The following is a 21,609-nucleotide window of genomic DNA, read 5'->3' as shown; positions in this document are numbered from 1 at the left end:
AGTTACTGATGCTGTGTCAAGCCATCTGGTTGCTTTCTTAATCTATTCCTTTCTACTTAAAGGGATTGTTTGGGTTTCCTACAATCTGGTTAATATTTCTAAGGGGGGTGGGGCAGAAGTGGTTACCTTGATCCTCTGGTCTCTGTGTTCTGTGACTCACTGTGATGTTACATGCCCAGAAGACATTTTCACAACACCTGAGTGTTCAGTGCAGCTTGCCTCACCAGCTTCCTCACCATAAGACAAAGCCTTTGGATAAGAAGGTGATAACATTCTGTCCGGCTAGATGATGAGGCCCTCCAGAAAATGGATATTCCATGCATATGGTGTGCTTGGCCCTAAGCAAGACCCCTGTGAGAGCAACGAATAGGGCAGAATGTGCTTGCAGGTTGCCAGATGGATTAAGGCAGGTGCGTAGGAGACAGGACAAGCCTGTACACAAATTGTGTGTTGCACGCCATGTTCTGACCTTCTATTGCTGCCTTTCATGGTGCCCATCCGAACAACATCCTGTCTATATAGATAGCCTCTAAGATATTTTTTTCCTTAACAAATGCCTGCCTTCTATTCCTTCTACCTGTAGTCATTTGGGGGCTTTCTAAATCTCTGGCTATGTTATAGAACTTTTTATTCTTCCTTATTCCCAGCCTTCATATATCCAGATAAATATTGGTGTGATTAGTCACTGAGAAGCCTTAGACCCATACAGATCAACCGCTCTAATGCCCCATCCTGTGGCTGGTGTCAGCCGGTGCTGTTCAACAACTCCTAAATACAGAATGCTGCGGTTGCTGAGCCTGTGGGATCTCACATTGTTAGAAGGTGGTTCTGCTCTTAGTAACTGAGGGGGGCCTCCTGGGTCCTGCCTACTGACTCCACTTTCTGCCTTTGGAGTTAAAAGAAGCCTATTTTATTCTACACAGCTGCCCTTCATGTTTTTCAAACAGATAACATCCTTTCCAAGGCTTCTCCCAGCTAAATAAATGTCCAATCCCCTCTTTCTCTTGTAACAGACCCCTTACTACTCTCTCTGTCCTATGAGTACTCACTAGTTTGTCAATGACCTTCTTAGTGTGCAGTGCTCAGGGTTAGATACAGTTACTTTGATGGATTGGAATGAGGAAGATAAAGCTTAATAGAAACGTTAAATGCTTCATTTAGATTAAAAATATTTGACAATGTAATTACCACATTCCCCTTGGCTGGACAGAAGTCTGTGTGAAGAAGTGATGGCGTTTTGGTTCAGCTCACAGTGAACTCAGTTGGTAATTCATCAGGAGTTTCTGTGATTCATACTCTTTCCATTCTTAGGTGTTTTCCTATCGTATGTCTGCTGGCACTCATCTTCACTGTGATTTCTTATGACTGGAATGATGCTGTTGTGATTTCACATGGTATGCCTCGGTGCACTTGAATTTGCAAATCGAGGCAAACCTGAATGCTGTTGTCATTGTTAGACTGAGGTTACCCTTTAAGCTCTTGGTCCAGCTATGGCCATTATAATCTTAGGCTGTAATGGTCTTTTGAGGGTGGGGGTTGACTACTAGCCACCTGTGATGTGGACTGGGGAACTTTGGTGCCCACACTACAGAGCAAGGCAGACAAGTGAAACTGAAACAATTAATTCTGCAACTATTCCATGTTACTCTTTGAATTCAGAAGACATCCCCTATATACCTTGGTTTTAAAATGACAACACAAACCCCCCATATTCCCAATCAGATCCCCTTCAGCCCTTGTCAGAGACGTAGATGAGGAGATTCCTACTTTGGTTGGGAAGTGGATGCAGTAGTTGTTTGGTTGCTCATGAATATCTGGTTCCCTTTCTCCTGACCACTTGGTAGAATTGCACTTCCTTACAGTTTAACTTGGACATGACCATGGGATTCGGTTTGATTAAGGAAATATGAGCTGAAGCCACTTTCATAACATTTCTGATAACACATTTTGCCAAGCTCTTCCTTGCCTGCCATGGTAACCAGTACTGTTCTGGGAGGGTTGCTCCGTCAACCTGAATTCCAGAACCCCCAGCCAGCCCATGATGAACATGGAGCAGAAGCCAAAAGCAGACACCTTGTGTGTGCCAGTGAAATGTTGGATGGGGTTTGTGACCACAGCAGAACCCAGTTGATCCTGACAGATGCATTAGATTGGTGGGCTTCTAGGTTAGCTTCTAGAAAAGCAGCTGGAGAATTACTTGGTTGAATCAGAGTAAAGAAAGTCTCATTGGTCCTAGAAGCAATAGCAGAATTCCCAGAGAGAAACTATCCCCATTTTGAGGAAGAAATGGTATGTGGATGATTTTCTCTTTCTTGAATTAAGCTTCCAACCCATTGTCACTACTTTGGTCTTTACCCCCTTTAGAGAGAGGTGAGGCAGGGAATGGGACTGGGCAGGGCTTCAGCTCCAGGAGGCAGGCTGACCTTGTTTCTTGGTTCTCTGTTAAGGGTCAGGATAACTGACTTTATGCCTGGTATAGCCATTTGCTGCCTGGGTCTTAAATAATTTAACCTTGCCCACAAAGGGGTCTTGCCTTTGTTATGGGCTCAAAATATGATTTAGGGTAGGGGCTGGCAACCCCAGAAATACCAATAGTGTGATTTTGGGTCAGGAGCTGGTCATGCATAGGGTAGGGTATGGCCATATCAGAAAGATTGATGCAGGGCAGGTAAGCTCCAAAGTGGAGCTTAGCCCATGAGGGTTCTTGGCTTCATCCAGGGAAGAATTCAAGGGGAGCTGGTGGTAGGGTAGGAGAAAACAGCTTTCTTGAATTGGTAGTGTTACAGCTCAGGCAGTGTTACAGCTTCATGACAACTCCTGCAGAACAGGTCTACCCCATAGGCAGTGTGCTGAAAGCAGCAGCTCAGGGCAATTTTGCAGTCATATTTATACCTATTTTTAATTACAGGTAAATTAAGGGGAGGTTTATGCAGAGATTTCTAGGAAAAGGATGGTAACTTTTCAGTCATCAGGTCCGTGCCATGGAAAGGGGCAGTGACTCCTGGGTGTTGCCATGGCAGTGATAAACAGACATGGCACATGGGTGGGCCTGTCTTATGGAAAGCTGTTTCCTTGTTGTCCTTTTTTAGCTAGTCCTCAGTATTGTCCAGTGTCTGAGTCCTGCCTCCTACCTCAAGAATCAACTATGCCATTTAGGTTGGGGGCTGGAGATTGAGGTCAGCCATGTGGCAGTAAACCACACCTGCATAATGAAGCCCCAGTGAAAACTCTGAACACTGCGGCTCAGTTGAGCTTCCCTGATTGGCAGTATTTTGAGTATTGTCACACATCTTTGCCAGGAAAGTAACACGTTTCATGCTTTTCCTGGTCTCTGTCCTATGCATCTCTTCCTTTGGCTGGTCTTCATCTGTATCCTTTAGCTAAACTAAACACTGTACCATAAGTACAACAGCTTTTAATCAGTCTTTCTAGTGAATTGTTGAACCTGAGATGTCTACTTGTGCAGTTGGTGTTAGAAGTGAGGCCAGGTGTGTGGACTGTGGTTATAACTAGACAGTCGGCCCTAATGGTTTGCACCCCCTTCTACTTCAAGGCTCTTCTGGAATTCATTAGATCTTCGTCCTAGTGCTCTGCTGAATGGAAAGAATTGGTTTTCATTCCTTTGGAGGCTGTTTGCCTCTTTGGTTGTAAATGTCAGAAAGGAAAGATTGAGAATGTTTTTCTATGGGCTTGGAGGATTTTCTTCCTATAGCGGGTGTGGAATAAATACACAACTCATTCTTCCAACTTCAGGACCATTAGCCCAGGTGAGAAACAGTTTATCTCCATATTGCCCAATAGCCCCAGGAACCTGAGACTTCTCTTGTGTCAATCAAAAATTAATTTCTGTGCACTGAGGCATTGCTTTAGTTTCCTCCCTGTTCACTCACTCAGCACCATGTTTGGGAAGAGTTGCTGCCTTTTAGTTTCAAAAAAGATAATGTGTTGCTTTCCTTGAGCATTTTGCAAATAGCCGTCATTCATTTTCCCAAAATGGTAATTAATAAAGATAGCCTAGAGCAAGAAGCATAAAGTTATTTTAGATGTGGTATCTAGAACCAAACAGGATTTCTGGATCTTTTCCAGTTACAGTGAGCTTTACAGAATGACCTAACTGTTCCACATAGCAGATAAAAGAAGCAAAATTATACATCTACTCTGTATTGGCTGCCACTTTGTTAGTACTTCAGCTGATTTGTTTTTTAAAGTTTTTTTCCCCCTAGGTTGTTTGTAATTTTAAGAAGTACAACTTTCTGAATTATACTTTTCTGATGAGAAGTTAATTAATTCACCGTCAGCTATGGTGTTTGATAAATTTATTAAATGTATATTTATGTGTAGACTACACTGATGGTAGATTTGTTTCTGGAGATATTAGGTTGGTGCAAAAGTATTTGTAGTTTTTGCTATTGGAGCTGTGAAGAGAATGGGACAATTTGCTGGTTGGGGGTGGTTCTGCCTGCCGGACCTGCTGCTTTGCTTTGGAGCTGGTGGGCTGCATCTTCTCGGGACATGTGGATAGAAGGGAAAAGCATGGATTCTCGCTAAGCCCAGGGCCCTTGTTACTGATTGTGTTTATAGAGTGGCTTGCCAGGCAGTGTGCTTTAGGGAAAGGCTGGGTCCTCTGCTGGGCAAAGGGCTCCCCAGAACCACTGTCCTCCAGGAGCTTCCTTCACTCACTTGTGTCTCTTCCATGACCAGCCTGTGACTTGGTTGTCTCTAAGTCGTGCCAATGAAGAAAGCTGACTTTAAAAGTGTCCATAACTCAAAAGCCAAGACTCTTGTAAGGAGTTACTTAGAATTTCTTAGTTGTTGGAACAGAAGTAAAGTTGGGAAGCACCCTGTTCGTTCATGTGCCATGTTTGAGGAACCTCTGGGACAGAGTGTGATCTGCTAGGGTCCAGACCAAGAGATTTTTTTCTGACTCCAAATGAGTGTCCACTTTGTAGCATGACTGAGTCACCTTAATGCTCAGCTGCAAAGTTGGGAGAGGGTCCTGGCCGCACCCCTGCAGGGCCCCCCACATCTCACATCTTGGAACCAATGGTCTTCTGAAGAAAAATGAGATGATGGGAACACAGATTTTGAGAACAGGCATTTCGAAGGCCTGTGGACCTAAATATTTCCTGGCCCTGGTCTGCCTAAATACTCTGGCATCCTCACATTAGATGAACATTGTTGCATTATAAATAAGTTATCTGGGGAAGGTAACTGGCATGGGTTAACTTGGATTGTTTATTAGTTGAGAACAGGGTCCTGGGAAAATGGGAAGAGAGGCAGATGTTGAGGGTGAGAGAGTTGCAGATCCAGGCCTGGGTGGGCCATGGGGATGGTGGCACCAGGCCCCAACACCCTGGGCTCTGCCCTGCAGAATCGCCAGCCCAGGCTGAGGCAGGATGGCTGGGCTCTGGTACTTAAGCAAATACATGGAAATTTCCCCTTGGAACCACCAGGAAATGGGGTACTATTTCTTCATCTGTGGATAACAAGGGTTTAACTAATTAGGCACCAAAGTGAGTATTTTGGAAGGACTTATCAAACCTCTTAGAGGTTATTGAGCATAATTTCACTTCTTTTTTTTTTTTTTTCCGACTCAAGAGTCATCACCACAAAAGGTCAACATTTCACTGTGGTTTAGCATGAGATTCCTGCAAGCTCCACCAAGGTGGACAGGGCTTCTATCCTCCTCCTAAATGGAATCAGAGCAATTTAACACTGTTCTGGTGCCTTTCTTTTCTTTTGTCCTCTCCTGAGCTGCCACTTCTTCTGCAGTCTCTGTTCTTGCTTAAAGCAGCATTCCATTTACTGCTCCTGCCACCCCCCCCAAATTGGGCACACTCCAGATTCCCTTTCTCCTGTAACTTCTTCCCAAAATAATTCGTTTCCTGTGTGGGGAAAGAGGGCAGGAAGGAATGCTGAATACTGAAATCTTTGTGGAGATTGAAGTGATTCAGCTTGATAGAGAAAACATTCCATTTAACACTTTCAAGCACACTTCTAACTACATTTAGAAATACCCATTTTTTCTTTTAATTTTAGGTTCGGGGTATATGTGAAGGTTGTGCTTGTGGGTATATTTTAGGTTCAGGGGTATTTGTGGAGTATATGTTCACGGGTATATATTTTAGGTTCAGGGGTAAATGTGAAGGTAAACTTGTGTCACAGGGGTTTATTGTACAAATTATTTCATCAGTGAGGTATGAAGCCCAGTACCCAGTAGTTATCTTTTCTGATCCTCTCCCTTCTCCCATCGTCCACCCTCAATTAGGCACCAATGTCTGTTACTTCCTTCTTTGTGTTCATAATTCTTATCATTTAGTTCCCATTTATAAGTGAGAACATATGGTATTTGATTTTCTGTTCCTGCATTTTTTTTGCCAGGGATAATGGCGTCCAGCTTCATCCATGTTCCTGCAAAAGACGTGATCTCAATTTTCATAGCTGCATAGTATTCCATGGTGTATGTGTACCACGTATTCTTTATCCAATCTGTCATTGATGTGAATTTAGGCTGATTCAATGTCTTTGCTATTGTGAATAGTACAGCAGTCAACATTGGTGTACATGTGTCTTTATGGTAGAATGATTTACATTCCTCTGGGTATATATCTAGTAGTGGGATTGCTGAGTTGAATGGTGGTTCTGTTTATAGCTCTTTGAGGAACTAAGAGAAACTTAGCTGTTTTGAGGCAATTTATTAATGGGCTAATTGACAGAGCTGCAATAGTCATTGAAGATAATCTATACAGCTTCCTCGTTTCCAGCTGAGAAAACTGAGCCTAGAGGTTGGCAGGACAGGACCTTGTCTAGGTTCCTTCACCATTTGCATAAATTTTTAGTTGATGGCATTCTTTTATTTGAGGGCTGCTTTGAAGGTGGGTTCCATGTCTTAGTCATCTTTGGGTTTCTTGGGGCCTTACACAGTGCTGGCATAAAGCAGGCCCTGAAATAACGTTTGTTCAAAATGTAAGTGGAGTATAGATTTTCCCTTTTGGTAGATAGGCTAAGAATCCTTCAGGGGAACCTGGAGTGCCTCGTTGGTATGCAGGTCTGCAGAGCCTTTTGATTGTATGTGAAATAAACTGCCCTCGTGGCCACTGTTCTTTTTGCAATGCTTGAAACTTGTGTTCACTTGAATTAGCTCATTTCAAAATATTGGAGTCCTTACTATCATCTTCTAAGAATCCATGAGGGACATAAAAGTAAGCACTAGCCTCCCTCCCAGACCCTACCTTGTAAAGTGTTTAATCTACTCGGGCAGATAAACTGTTACCACTAGTGACTATAATACACAAGTGCCTATAACAGGGCCTATAGATATTCTGGCAATTGAAGATGGAGTTTAGGAGTTGGGTAGTTAGGGAATGCTTTGTGGGGCTAATGGTAATTTATTGAATGCCTTTGTGATAAGGGGTCTGACACCATCGTTTTCTTTCATCTTTGCTATAATTCTCCAAGTGTAGGAGGTTGTCTTCTTAGTAACATTTGAGAGAAGTTAAATGAGGATACTGCTTTACTAAAGAGCCACTAAGTGGCAGGGTTAAGATTTGAACCCAGATGCCTTAGACCCTAAGATCCGTACTCCTTCCATGCAGTTACCAACTTTGGTTGCACAAGAACTGTGCATGTTTGTACACACACATATACACACATAACCCTACCTCCAAAAAGTGGCCTTTTGGAGATCAGTTTTGAACTAAGCCTTGGAGTCTGATTTAGATTTGAAGAGGTTAAAAAGAATGAGCAAGAGCCATCTACCTAGGGAAGATGTCAGCACACTTGTCAGCTAATGTTTACTTGTATCATCACCTGGTAATATTACCATCCCGACTTCCTTTCTTAGCAATTTGCATGGATGCAAAAAAAAAAAAAAAAGTAAAAAAAAAACAAAAAACAAATATCCAGTTGATGTCCTTTCAGAGACTAAAGGCAGGTAGATAGTATTATGGGTGTATCTTAGACCCTAACGTGGCCACTCCAGTTGAAAGCGTTCCTCTAGTTAAATGGCAAGACCACAGGAAGGCTTCTCTAAGTACATACTGTGGGACCTTGGGAATATCACCTGAGTTATCAGTTTCATCCTCCTGTGAAGCTCCTGAATTAGCCGGCCATGTGAGGCCACAGAGCTCCAAAGCTGTATGCGTGACAGACGTGTGATACCGTGGAAGAATGCTGTGGGGCAGGCTTAGAGGACCTGCTGCATTCAGGCTGTGTGACCATGGGCAAACTACTTCACCTCTTGATTCCTCACCTGTCAAATAGGATGATAACGAACACTCTCTGTCTCACGAGTTTTTGTATGGATGAAAAGAGAGGACATGAAAAGCGCATTGTAAATTGACATACTGTAAAACTGTTAGACCACTTGCAGGCACACCTATCAAGGGCCTGTTGTGTGTCCTTGGCACTTAGCACTGTGCAGTGTTTCCTCCCAAGTTCATGGACAGGGTCTCCAGGTCACCTCCTAGCAGTTTCTAACAGTCTAACAGGATGTAGCTGTTTAAAAACCTGCTTTTACAATAGTAAGACAGCGTGCATGGAATCTCAATTGTCTTTAACCAATCCCACTTCATTTAAGTAATACACCAAAAATGATGAAATTAGCCATTTAAATACATATTATCTTCTCTCTGGGAATGATTTATCTAGATTGAATACTTAGCCCTTTCAACCAGAGAGGTGTCTTTGGGACATCCTTGGAATCCTTGTCTCTTTACCTAGAGGGTTTCAGTCTGTCCAGAGAAAGGTGTGTGCGTGTACATACAGATGGGAGTGATGTCAACTGTAAAGTGGATTTTTGAATCTGGCAAAGACGAATATGATCATCTCTTGACATGTTGGATTATCCATTCTCCTTTCATCATTACATAATTGATATCTTTTCACTTTCCCTAAACTTTGTAGGTTGAAAGGTTGAGTCTTCTGGACTCGCCTGTCTGCTAGACTGTCTTGAAAAACCTCAAAGCAAGCAGGCTTTCTTGAAGGGAGGAGAGAAGTGAAATTGGAAGGAAATGTGGCTATTTTTCTCTTCCAAAGTAGTACAGGGAGTAAGAAGTGGGAGATGGTCTCAGGAATATGAGGCAGGATACAAACACTTGAGGGCAGAATTTTGTTGGCAGTTGGGTCAGGAGAAATAGACTCTTGTTGCCTTGTGTATTTCCCGGTTGATATGTGTATTTAAAGAGGAAGAGTGGAGGGCATTATCTTAGAGGAACACACTTATTACAATCAGGCAGAGCAATCCAAATCAGCCTGTATAACAAACAGTTGAGGAACTTAATTTCAAAGCTCTGAATCTAGTTATAAATGATTGTTTTATCTCTTGCAAAGACAGATCTGAGTAAGTGTCTGTAGGCATTGATTAAGTGACTTCAAGCATCAAGGGAGATAATTAAGGTGGTTGAGGAATAGTCTGTTCTTTCAAAGAGTTAGCAGTTGACTTGGAAGACAAAAATTCCATGAAGAGAATATATGAAGTGCCTCGTGAGCAATCCCCAGGGCACCGTTTCCCTCAGCAGGTGGATGGAGTGTCTCTCTTTGACTTCTGGAGCCTCGGTGCAGCCCAGGCAGAAGAGAAGGGTTCTTACATGCAAGAAATCACTGAGAGCTCTGGAATACTAACCCTTGAGGCTGCTATTATTTATTTATTTATTTATTTATTTATTTATTTATTTATTTATTTATTGAGATGGAGTCTCACTCTATCGCCCAGGCTGGAGTGCAATGGCGCGATCTCGGCTCACTGCAACCTCCGCCTCCTGGGTTCAAGTGATTCTCCTGCCTCAGCCTCCCGAGTAGCTGGGATTACAGGTACCTGCCACCACACCTGGCTAAGTTTTTGCACTTTTAGTAGAGATGGGGTTTCACCGTGTTGGCTAGGATGGTCTCGATCTCATGACCTTGTGATCCACCCACCTTGGTCTCCCATAGTGCTGGGATTACAGGCGTGAGCCACCGAGCCCTGCCACGCGGCTATTTTTATCCCTTAATCACTATTTTTACTTGTTTTTATGTGCCTCTGTCTATCCCTTTGAAGTTTGAACAACAAATTTATTTGATAATGTATCTGTGTAGTTAAATTCAAAGAGCTGAAAAGCAATATGGTGATGTTTTCCTTCTGCCTTTGTCCCCAGTCAGGCAGTTCCTTTTTCCGGGAGCAACCAGTGTAACAGGTTTCTTGTGGATCTTTTTAGAGATACTCTATATCTATATATCTTGTATCTGTCTCACTCCCATCTTTAAAAAACCTTTATTTTCATTGCCCCATCTTTTCTTATACATAAGGCAGCATGCTAAACACACTGTTCTGCACTTGTGTCTTTCTCTTAAAGATATCTCAAAGATTGCTCCCTTTTGTGTTTAAATAACTCCCCCCACCTCCCTCCTTTTTTTTGTGGCCATATGGTTCTCAAACTTTGCATCTAGAATCACCTGGAGAGCTGATGAAGAATGCGGAGTCCCAGGCTCCTGGAGGTGGGAGGGGCCTGGGCCTTTGTGTTTTGACCAAGTGCCCCAGGTGATTCTGTTAAAGATCAGAGTCTGACAGCCACTGCTGTATAAGCCCCACCTTGCAAAGTGAGGAATAAGCTGGAGTGTAATATACCAGGACAGTCATGGGGTTGCAGTGGGGGGACAGACAGACAGACGGACGGACGGAGGGATGGAGGGATTTCTGGGCTCATCACATGACTTCTCTTGGTTCTTGAGTCAACTTCCTTCACTGGGCAGCTTCAGCAGTTGTGTCTGCACCTACCTTTTCCTTCTGGGTCATGTTTCTGACGTCTGCACCATATGAGCTTTCACTCTTTCTATTGAAGGTTCTTTTAATACTTTGGAATAGCATTAAGGCCCAAACATTAGCCTCGTTTAAGGCAGCAAGCACTCTCATGAACTCCTCTCTGATCTTGGGATGTAGTATCTTCTTTGTGGTTATTTTGTTTGTGCTTATTTTTACCTTTTCCAATTTGAGGAGAGCACTAGAGAAGACAGAGAACAAAAATAGTGTTTCTGTATGGCTTGAATCTCTTTTTGCCTGGGATATGTAGTCTGTGTTGAAGTACTTTGAAGGGGGCCATGGATAAGGAACTTGAGACTCACTCCTCCTCATTGATATTTTTGCTTTTCCAGGAAGGAAACAGTCATATTCTGGATTAATTCTGCCCTCAGCAGCATAGACTGGTCTTGGAGAATCATCTTCCAGGCTTATTTAAAACAAAAAGCAAAAAACTATGAACTTGGGTCTCTCTAAATTAGTAGAAAAAAATTTCCCCCTCCCACTGATTTAAATTAAGAAGGCTTTTAAATACATCCCAGTGGTTGAAGCTATGGATGTATATGTAACCAGGGAGCTGTGAGAAGGAGGTGGAGGAAAGCAGTGTGAAATGATTTAAGGGATTAAAAGGTATTTCCTTATAGAACTTACCTGCCTTTCACGCTTCAGCCAAGGTACTTGGAAGTTTTTGTCTCATGCTCCCACTTAACTATGTTTAAACATTGGAGGTTCAACCCATGCGAATTTTCTCTATCCACTTGCTTAGTGGCAACCACCATAATCTATTCCTGGGCTAATTCTGAGCAGGCAACCCTATTCCCAGGAAGAGAGATGGCAGAGAAGAGGGGAGCATGGTGGAGATAAGCATTTTACTGAGCACAAGTGAAATAAGTATTAATGTTCATTTTCTTCCCCAGCCTATGGCAGACTGCTGTTGACTGGACTTGTCGGCCTAGAAAGAGTTAATGTTATATATCAGCATTATTAATTTACACAGAACCATTGTGATGTCATATCACAGTACCTGGAATATATATTAATCTCATATTCAATCTTTACAACGACAGAAGGACACAAGTCTCTACTACCTCAACTTTACATAATTAAACTGAAACCCAGAGAGGTTTAGTAACTTGGATAAGGTCACACAGCTAAGAAGTAGCTGCACCAAGATTTGAGCACTTGACGTGTAACCATTATGCTCTGCTCCTCCAACCATGCCCAAATGTTCTTAAATTTCCAGAGGATCCTAAAAGGACTGCCGTGGCCACTGTTTCAAAGCGGAGAGCAAGTGAGGGTTTGGGGGATAATGCTTGTGTTTTGTTCTTGATTTTATTCTTAAAGTGGGGAGGAAGTATTGGCACACTTGGGAAGAGGGAAGAAAACAGGAAATGTGGTATATTTTGCTAAGCCCACTGTGGAAGCAGGAGCCCCTTTCAATAAAGAATTCTGCAAATTATTGTTTGGGAAAAAATAGTGCCAATGGGGGAAAACTGCAGGTACAGAAATGATAAATGTTCTCTCTTCACAAAAAGTTCAGGTCCAGATCTGATTGTGGATGGTGATTGGTTTGGTATTCAGCCTGCTGAATAATTAGAGTGATTCATAGTTCATGCAGAGTGTGTGTTTGGGAGTCCAGCATTGCTACAAATAATAGAGGGGAGGTGGTTTCCCCTGCTGTTTTGAAACTTGTGAAATGTCACATTATCACCTCCTGTCATGGTGACAAATGAGCTTTTTCACTGATCTCAGTACTGTATCCAGCTAAATGCTTTCAAACTGCCTGTTGCCCCCATAGGTTTTTGAGCTACAAATGCTTTTAATGCACCATTCAGCCTACCTTGCTATCAAAGAATAATAATACTTATGATGATAATTTAGCTCCAGGGAGTACAAAGCACTGGGCCAAGTGCCATGCCAATATTGAAATGCTTGTGGCCAATGTCAGAAAGGTGGCTTGATTGAAAGTGTCTGTAGGAAGTGGCAGGAGTGAGGGAGTGGGCTCAGTACCTATTATTTTTCCTTGGACTCTAACTTTGGATGTGATTTGATGAGGCCATTTTTGATAGGGATTTGGCTGCCTGTTTCATAGTCCTATTGGTGTGCTCAAAGACTCATGGTACAAATGTGCTTGGATGGAGTGGGATGTTTCTTCCTGGTAGCCAAAGTCTGGCAACAAAAGGCCAGTGAGTTGGTGGGTTAGAGCCTGCAGTGTGAGTTTTATCAAATAGTTTTCAAATTAGGACTCCCTTTCAGGACTAAGTTTCTATGCATTCTATTCTATGATTCCATGCAATTAATGACTAATATTAGCTAGTATAGGGCTTTAATGCTTTTAAAGTGCCGTGCTAGATGTCATCTCATTTGATTCTCACAGAAAGCCCTGTGACCTAAGCAGAACTTGATTCCTGTTCATCAGTTGTAAGAATTGAAGATTGGAGGAAGAGGCTTGCTGCACATTCCATAGCTGGAACATGATAGGCATGGGGCTAGAGGTTTTTCTGCCATGTAACTACTCAGCTTGGGATAAATGACTCCTGAAGTCCCCTGGAAGGAGAGGAGCTTGGTTAGGGTGATAAAGCCAAAAGGGAAACTACCTTTTCCTGAGAGATGAGCTTATTCGGGATTCCTTACCCATTTCCTGTTAGCAGTGCACATCACAGTCGTTTTGTAAAACGAGTCTTTTGCAAATTTGAGCAGATGAAAAATGGCCAGGGAAGAGTTTGTGGCATCCTGTGTAGACGATATTGTTGGTTCATCTGAACCGTTCTAACTGGCTTGTATTTCACCGGTGTTCTTAGAATTCAGGCCTGGTGTTCATGATTAAACAATAAATCCACGGAGGGTGCTTTTAATTTCCTGATTTCTGCATCAGTACCCACCAGTTCAGGTAGGGTGGATATTGCTCGTTCTCATTCTTCTTGTCTCCTTTTGAAGGAGCCTTTGCCAATGCCCAGGAAGACCTTCCTAGAGCCACAGAAATGAACCGCATGTGTGTACATCTCAGGGTAACCTCCAGAAGCTACCAAGGTTGTACAGGTTTCCTTCTGGAGGCCCTAAGGAAGTGCTCAGGCATAAGCCATCTGATTGCCATTCGTCAAATTCTACAGGGCAACTGGGAGTTTTTCCTTATCCAAGAAAACTTAATTATAAGTCCTGATGCCTTCTGCTGGCTAATCGATAATGAGCAAAGCTTTTTATTTCAAGGAAGTTCTTGAAAAAATCACAAGAGGCTTAAAAAAATATGGCTGATGTATTTTTAATTGTACCCCCAGTATTAACCAACATTTCTTAATTGGATCACTAGGTAGCTGACAGCTGATTCCAGCCCAGTCTCCTGGTGGCCTGCCTGGCACTCAGCCTTGCTGTGGTTGCATCAATGTTTCTGTTTTTGAGGAGCTAATTCAGTGCAGGCTGTGCTGAACATGCTGAGTGCTCAGGTAGGGTAGAGAGCTCTGAGCTGCACTGCTCCTGGGAAGGGTTTGAAGGAAGACTGCAGGAGGTGGGGCGGTGGTCATTGGGAAAAAAAGTTGGTTTAGTTTTCATTTTTCTGTCTAAAGAAGCACTTCATGTTCATTTTAGAAAATTGAGAAAAATCAGGAGACAAAACAAAGCCCCTCTTCTGACTTTTCTTGTTGGCGGAGGCTCCTGTACTAGTCCCATGATTTGGTTTAGAGATGCAAGGTATAGAGGATTTTTGAACTTTGGCACTCTTGAAAAGGGCTCAGGTTTTGGGATCTAGATTCTTGCCTGGACTCAGATTCCAGCTCTGCTACTCCCTAGGGACCTCGGGCAAGTTATTCCACTTCTTCACATTTAGTTTCCTCATCTGCAAAATGGAGATGATGTTTCATAGGGCTGTGGGAATTAAAGAAGTTACTACAGAAAGGCTCTAGGAAATGGGCTGGCGTATGGTGAGGTGTCTGTAAGTACAGCTGTTATGATCACATCTCTGGTATTAGCTCGTGGATCATTTGCCTGCATTCCTTAAATCAGAATGCTGGACAAGAGCTCCAGTGATTTGAGTTTTCTGCCTTATCGGAGTTCATTTCCTGTTTCCTTTCATGGAATATATATGGTGTTTTAGTTACATTGGTGGCATGACAATTAATATAGGGCAGAAGCTTGTCTGTTGAAGTTCCCTTGAGGAGAAAGGGATGCCCTGGGTTTGTGGTAAGTGTGCTGTGTGGACAGCATTTGCTGGAGTCTATGGGATTGTAAATGTGAGATAAGCTCTAGCTCCAGCTCCAGGAATTGCTGTACTGGGAAGTCCCTGCCCTCTCCACAGTCCTGCTTGGGCCCAGCCCTCCATCCCTCTCCGTCCATCAGGCCATGCTCCCACCACCGTGGGGCCTGGCCTGGGCTCCTTTCACATCACTGAGCATTCCCTGCCACCTCATTCTCCTGAGCCGGCTCTGACAGCCCTGCATTAAGCAGTGACTTACCGTGAGATTTGGCAGGTGGTTCTTCTGTGATTTTAATTAGGCCCTGGGTGTGTTTTGTGAAGGTGATCCTCTGCGGGTTTGTCAATAAAAAGCCTGCTTTTCCAGCCGGCAGCCGCTGATTGGGTATTCTGAGGCTTCACACCAAAGCAGTTTCTGGTGGAAGGTGGTTTCCCCCTTCTCACTGGGCCACTTCCTCCTCCAATGTTCTTTCACATTTTATCCTCACATTCCTTCTGGTACGCATGTCACAGGGAGGGAAACTGAGACCCGGAGGGCTTGAGTGACAGACTGGGGATGTGTAAAGGATCTCGGATTCTTAGGTGCTGGCACGTGGCCTTCTCCCTGGGCTCTTTGGCCTTTGTACCTGGGCAGGGTGCAGAACTGCTCTCCGAGCTGTTGATAAATCCAAGGGAGTGTGAGAGTCCTCTGTTCTCAAGGCACGAGAGACTTCCTGTCACTGAGCTAGGCGCTGCTATCGCACCCCACATGTCTTCTCCTACCTGGACAGGTATATGCTGCTGGCCTCCTGGGCTCCAGGCTTTTCTACGCTTATCCATGTGGGATCACTTCTCCTAAACTCTGCTTTTGTGTGATTCTCAAGATCACAGGCACCCCATCTACCTGTGTGGAGGGTCATGTTCAGAATCCATCAGCTGTTCTCAGATCAGCTGTTGCACCTCACAGTCCTCATTCCTGTTTGTTCTCTCTCCCCCTTCAAAGCCATTTTCTCATGGCCTTCCTATTCTCTCATTTTTTCACATCTTCGCTTTTCATTCAATTTCTTAGACTTCTGGAAGCTTTCCTCCCCTTTTACTCTCTGCCAAACCAATAGTAGTGTATTAGGATTCTCTAGAGAAAGATAACTATAGGAAATACACATATTTATATATTATGGAATTACTCACACAATTACAGAGGCCAACAGGTCCTAAGATCTGCATTCAGCAAGCTGGAAACCCAGGAGAGCTGATGGTGTAGTTCCAGGCTGAGTCCAAAGGCCTGAGAACCAGCAGAGTCAGTGGTGTAAGTTCCAAAAGCCAGCAGGCTTGAGACCTGGAAAGAGCTCATGTCTCAGTTTGAGTCTGAAGGTGGGAAAAATAGCAGTGTCCCAGCTCAAACAGGCAGGGTTCCCTTTTACCCAGACTTTTTGTTCTAATTGGGTTTTCAACTGATTGCATGAGGCCCACCCGCAGTGGGGAGGGCAACCTGCTTTACTCAGTCGACTGACTCAGATGTTAACCTCATCTAGAAACAGCTTCATGGACACACCCAGAATAGTGCTTGGCCAAATGTGTGGGCACCCAGTGGCCACATAAGTTGACACATAAAATTGATCATCCCAGTAAGCAATCTTTAAAGCCCCACCTAAATCCCACCTCTTCCGTGAGGTTTTCCCTGATTACATCAACTTACACTTGACTGGCTTAGCTGGATTCCTCTACCTTTTATGCGCTCCACCAGGGCTCAGCAATTAGTGGTACCTGCCCCTCCATTGTTCTCTTTCAGCTGAGGACTCCTTACCTCCTCTACCAGGTGTGAAGGGTGGCAGATACCATGAGTTTGACCACTCTTGTCTTCCCTGTAATGTAGAGCACTGCATCTGTTGTAGGTGCTCAGTAAAAGCTTGTTCTCTTAGCCCAGTTTTCCAGTAGATAAAGTGAAGCGTTCAAAACTTGGCTGCTGGGATTACAGACCAAGATGATGGGCTTGGAGAACCTGGGTTCTTGGTTCCTACAGGCACTAGAAGAAAGGATGGCCAGTATCTGGTATATAATAGGTGCCCAAATATGGTTGAGATGCTAGAAATTTTCATCAAATGCTTTTGAATTATCGTAAGTGCCACAGTGTGGTGGGAAGAGTAGGGGGCTCTAACTAGCAATGTAAACTCAAGCAACTTGCTCTTCCTTTGCCTCAATTGCCTATGTTAACTGGGGGCAGTTTGATCTTGCCCCACCTGCCTCTTGGGTCTTATGAGGTTGGAATAAGGTAATAATGATTATGAGAATAACAGCTAACTCTCTATGTGGCAAGGATTGTTCTAAAAAATACTTTTTAAAAACTTGCTTTTTTCTGTGACACTAACCAATGAATTGTAAAAACTTCCTGTATGTCAGCTCATTTAATAACCCTATTTTACAATGAGATGCTGAGATTCAGAGATCTAGTAACTTGCCCAAGGTTACAGAGCCAGAGAGCAGCAGGGCTGGGATTCAAGCCCAGGAAGTCTGGCTTCACCATGCATGCTCTTCACTGCCATAGTGTGCTAGAAGATGGTGTGAAAATGCATTGGAGGCTTGGAGAGCTGTGCTGCTGTTCTGAGACCCATTTGATCAGGTCCTGGAGATGATTCACGCATGACTGCTGTTCACTAGGGAGTTTGCTAGAGCTTGGACCACGTATGAATTGAGAGCAGGAATGTGTGCAAGCTCTTGACTTGTCAAGGCCTTTGCTCACCAGAGTGACATGTGGGGTTTGCTGTAGACATTTCAGATAACTCGGGATTCTGTAGCTTCCTGGCAACTTTGCCCTGACAGCCCCCACTTTGTGGTCCCCTGTGATTTGCCCTCTTAGCTCCATTCTTCACTTTGTGGTCTCTGCCTTAATTGAATTAAAAGATGGTTGATGTGTCTCCCCAGTGGAATGCAGGTTCTATCAGGGCAGGGCTAGAGGCTGTTTTGTTCACTACTGTGTCTCTAGTGTCCAGTGTGGTGTTTGGTCTGGCCAGGGGTGCCCACATCTGGAAAATAAGCATTATAGTAAAGGACCTGTTTCCCTGTTTCAGGGTTGTTTGTTTTTATTATGGTAAAATATAAGTAAAATTTACTGTTTTTTAACTTTTAAACATTTTTTAGTTGTGGTAAAATACACATAACAATTTACCATTTTAACCATATTTTCACCATTTTTCAGTATACAGTTCAGTGGCATTAAGTACGTTCACATTGTGTGCAATCACGACCACCATCCAAGAACTTTTTCATTATCCTAAACAGAATCTCTGCACCCATTAAACAGTAACCCCTTCCTCGCAGCCCCTGGCACCCACCAGTCTACTTTCTGTCTCTATGGATTTGCCTCTTCTAGGTCCCTCATGTAAGTGGAGTCATACAGTCTTGTCCTTTTCTGGCTTATTTCTCTTAGCATAGCATCCTGAAGGTTCATCCATGTGATAGTATGTGTTAGAATTTCCTTCCCTTTTAAGGCTAATAATAATGAATTGTATGGATAGTCTGCTTGTTGATCCACTGATCTGTGAATATTTGGGTTGTGTCTACCTTTTGTCTATTGTGATGAATGTGTCTGTGAACTTGGTATACAGCTATCTGTTTGAATTCCTGCTGTTGATTCTCTCAGTTACATTCCTAGAAGTAGAATTGCTGAATCATCATAGGGTCATTTTGAAGATTGAATAACCTAGTATTTGAACTGTTCCTGACACATAGCAAGCACTATATATGAGTGTTTGCTAAATAAGACTTTTCTTTCTTTTTATTATTATTACTATTATACTTTAAGTTGTAGGTTACATGTACACAACGTGCAGGTTTGTTACATATGTATAAATGTGCCATGTTGGTGTGCTGCACCCATTAACTCGTCATTTACATTAGGTATATCTCCTAATGCTATCCCTTCCCCCTCCCCCCACCCCACAACAGGGTCCGGTGTGTGATGTTCCCCACCCTGTGTCCAAGTGTTCTCATTGTTCAATTCCCACCATGAGTGAGAACATGCGGTGTTTGGTTTTCTTTCCTTGCGACAGTTTGCTCGGAATGATGGTTTCCAGCTTCATCCATTGATGCATCTCTTAACATTCATTGTTCAGTTTGATATTTAGAAAGGTGTGCAGCATAGTGCCCTTGAGAAAGAGAAGCTGTAAAGGTAGGTTTGCGCTCTGTTCAATACCATTCAAATGGCTTGGAGACCCTGGGGCTTGTGCCAGGCCTTGCAGTCAGCAGGGGTACCATCTGTGGCAGGCTCCCCAAAAGTAGGGCTAGGAGTCAGGGTGGGCTTGGTTTCTGAAGACTTCTGCTCCAGCTGCTTATATCCAGTCCTTGATTTGAGTCTGGTTTCCATACTGTAGTCTCTTTATTGATCCTTGCAGCCTCTGTCCTCTCCCAGTCTGGGGAAATTAAAGTGGGGCTTCCCAATTCTTATGTTGTTATCTGCAGTTTATTAAGAAAGACTGTACACATTCCTGAAATAAGTTGACGCTTAAAAATAACATATACTTTTCAAAATGATCAAGCGGGGTGGGGCGGGGGGAGAGATGTGTCAATTGCAAGCAGTGATGTGGAGTTACTGATAGGAAGGGCACCAGGGGGGAAAGATTTCACTTTGCTCACAGCAGGTTTATGCATATTCCAGATGAGGGATTTGCACAGGGATTCTATGCAGGCTATACATGTCTTTCCTTCTGGTTCCAAAGCATTTTCTAGTTACAGGGTATTATTCTTCAAAAGTTTTTTGTTGTTGTTGTTTTCTTTTTTTTCTTTTTAACATTCACTTGAAAACAACTTGAAGTAGACAATCACACTTTCCCTAATCCATTTAATAGAAGAGCAGAACGATGACTCCCATAATAGGAATGCCGCTACCCCATGAGTTGAAGGAGAGTGATGGGACCATGTGCATGGGAAAAGGTGTACCAACTCCCCTTTGGGAATGATTGTCTATTCAACCAAATAAGCCACATGTTGAGGAAAATGTTTTGCACTGTGTATTGGAAAACTCTGAAAGAATCTCACAGTTTTATAACGAAGTCTATAAAGCTTCGAGAATAAAATGTTCAGTTACCAGAACCTCTCTGCACTGTCAAGACCCAATTTAAGTGAGGCCATCTTATCGGAGGATGTATCTGGTATTTGCACATAGGTTATAAGGACATTGTGTGTTAATCATAGGGTGCAGTGTGACTTTGTTGAATTTTTAGATGAGAATTTAATCAGATTTACTAAGCGCAAAAGCACAAATAATGTGCCCATGGTGGAAATGGTCTTATTTATAGACACATAATTATGGGCATATCTGCAGTCACTCAAAAGACTCACTGAGCTTTGACTGGGAGAAAAGGATGCCTTCTGTGGACGGCATGTATCTGTGTGTGTATCGTATATATACATAAAGTATTTGATGCTACAAATGATCCACTAGGCTGTAAGATATATGAGGGCAAGTACCAGCATTGTCTGGTGTTTTACGTGTAGCAGGCTTCCAGTAGGTATTTGAGGAATGACTGCAAAAGAGTGACACCTCTATATCTTTCTTTGAAAAGTGGAAAACCTTTTATCATCTTATAGAGCCTTAACTTTTTTTGAGACAGGGTCTTGCCCTGTCACCCAGGCCTGGAGTGCAGTGGTACGATCATGGCTTACTGCAGCCTTGACCTCCCAAGGAGCTGGGACTGTACGGTGCACCACCATGCCTGGCTAGTTTTTTTTATTTTTATTTATATTTTTTGCAGAGATGGGTTTTTGCTATGTTGCCCAGGCTGGTCTCGAATTCCTGATTTCAAGCAATCTTCCCACCTTATCCTCCATCGCTGGGGTTACAGGTGTGAGCCACCTCACCTGGCCAATTTTTAAAAATTGAAGTGAAATTCACATAATATACAATTACCCATTTAAAGTGTACAGTTCAGTAGTATTCAGTTCATCCACAATGTTGTGCAAACACTCCCTCTCTCTAGTTCCAAAATATTTTCATAACCCACAAAGGAGACCTGTACCCATTTCTCCCTCCTGTTGGCCCCTGGTAGCCACTAATCTGCTTTCTGTCTATGGATTTGTGTATTCTGGATATTTCATATTAAATGGAATCATATAATATGTGACTTTTTGTGCCTGACTTCTTTGACTTAGCATATTTTTGAGGTTCACCTGCATAGTAGGCTGTATGAGAACATAGTCCGTTGTAGGGATGTACCGCATTTTCTCCATTGTGCAGCTGATAGACACTTGGGTTGTTTCCACCTTTTACCTGTTGTGAATAATGCTGCCATTCACTTTCATAGAAAAGTATTTCAGTACCTATTTTCAGTTATTTTGGGTATATAGCATGCAGTGGAATTGCTAGATCACATGGTAATTCTGTGTTCAGCTTTCTCAGGTGACATCAAGCTGTTTTCCACAGCAGCTGCAGCATTTTACATTCACATCAGCAGTCGATGTCTGAGGGTTCCAATTTCTCTACATCTTTGTTGACACCTTATTTTCTATTTTATTTTTTATTGAGGCCATCCTAGTGGATGTAAAATGGTGTCTTATTGTGGTTTTGATTTGCATTTCAGGGTCTGTTATTTTTTAATTTTTATTTATTATTTTTGAGATGCAGTCAGTCTCTCTCTCTCTCTCTCTCTCTCTCTCTCTCTCTCTCTCTCTCTCTCTCTCCCCC

At 43.0% G+C, this 21,609-nt stretch overlaps 1 protein-coding gene and 1 non-coding gene across 2 annotated transcripts in view, besides 3 other annotated features; both read left to right on the top strand.

Annotated features, from left to right (window-relative positions):
• The window catches only part of MYO5B (myosin VB), a 372,359-nt gene that overhangs the window by 50,908 nt on the left and 299,842 nt on the right, over positions 1 to 21,609 (top strand). The window lies entirely within an intron of this gene.
• Positions 12,339 to 12,388: an enhancer, noted in NCBI's record as "active region_13312". NCBI's record gives its function as "activates an Ori minimal core promoter by ATAC-STARR-seq in GM12878 lymphoblastoid cells {active_cell/tissue: GM12878}" and the evidence as "EXISTENCE:reporter gene assay evidence [ECO:0000049][PMID:35858748]".
• Positions 15,282 to 15,341: a silencer, noted in NCBI's record as "silent region_9452". NCBI's record gives its function as "represses an Ori minimal core promoter by ATAC-STARR-seq in GM12878 lymphoblastoid cells {active_cell/tissue: GM12878}" and the evidence as "EXISTENCE:reporter gene assay evidence [ECO:0000049][PMID:35858748]".
• Positions 15,684 to 16,883: an enhancer, noted in NCBI's record as "CDK7 strongly-dependent group 2 enhancer chr18:47653727-47654926 (GRCh37/hg19 assembly coordinates)". NCBI's record gives its function as "activates an origin of replication core promoter dependent on BRD2, BRD4, P300/CBP, MED14 and CDK7 cofactors, with strong dependence on CDK7, by STARR-seq in HCT116 cells {active_cell/tissue: HCT116}" and the evidence as "EXISTENCE:reporter gene assay evidence [ECO:0000049][PMID:35650434]".
• Positions 17,677 to 17,741, top strand: MIR4320 (microRNA 4320). Its single transcript, NR_036204.1, has one exon. It is a non-coding gene; the product is annotated as a microRNA 4320 (primary transcript).

This window comes from Homo sapiens, chromosome 18 (assembly GCF_000001405.40).
Source record: "Homo sapiens chromosome 18, GRCh38.p14 Primary Assembly".
In the NCBI taxonomy this organism is placed as follows: Eukaryota; Metazoa; Chordata; class Mammalia; order Primates; family Hominidae; genus Homo; species Homo sapiens.
This window is presented reverse-complemented; position numbering and strand designations above follow the sequence as displayed.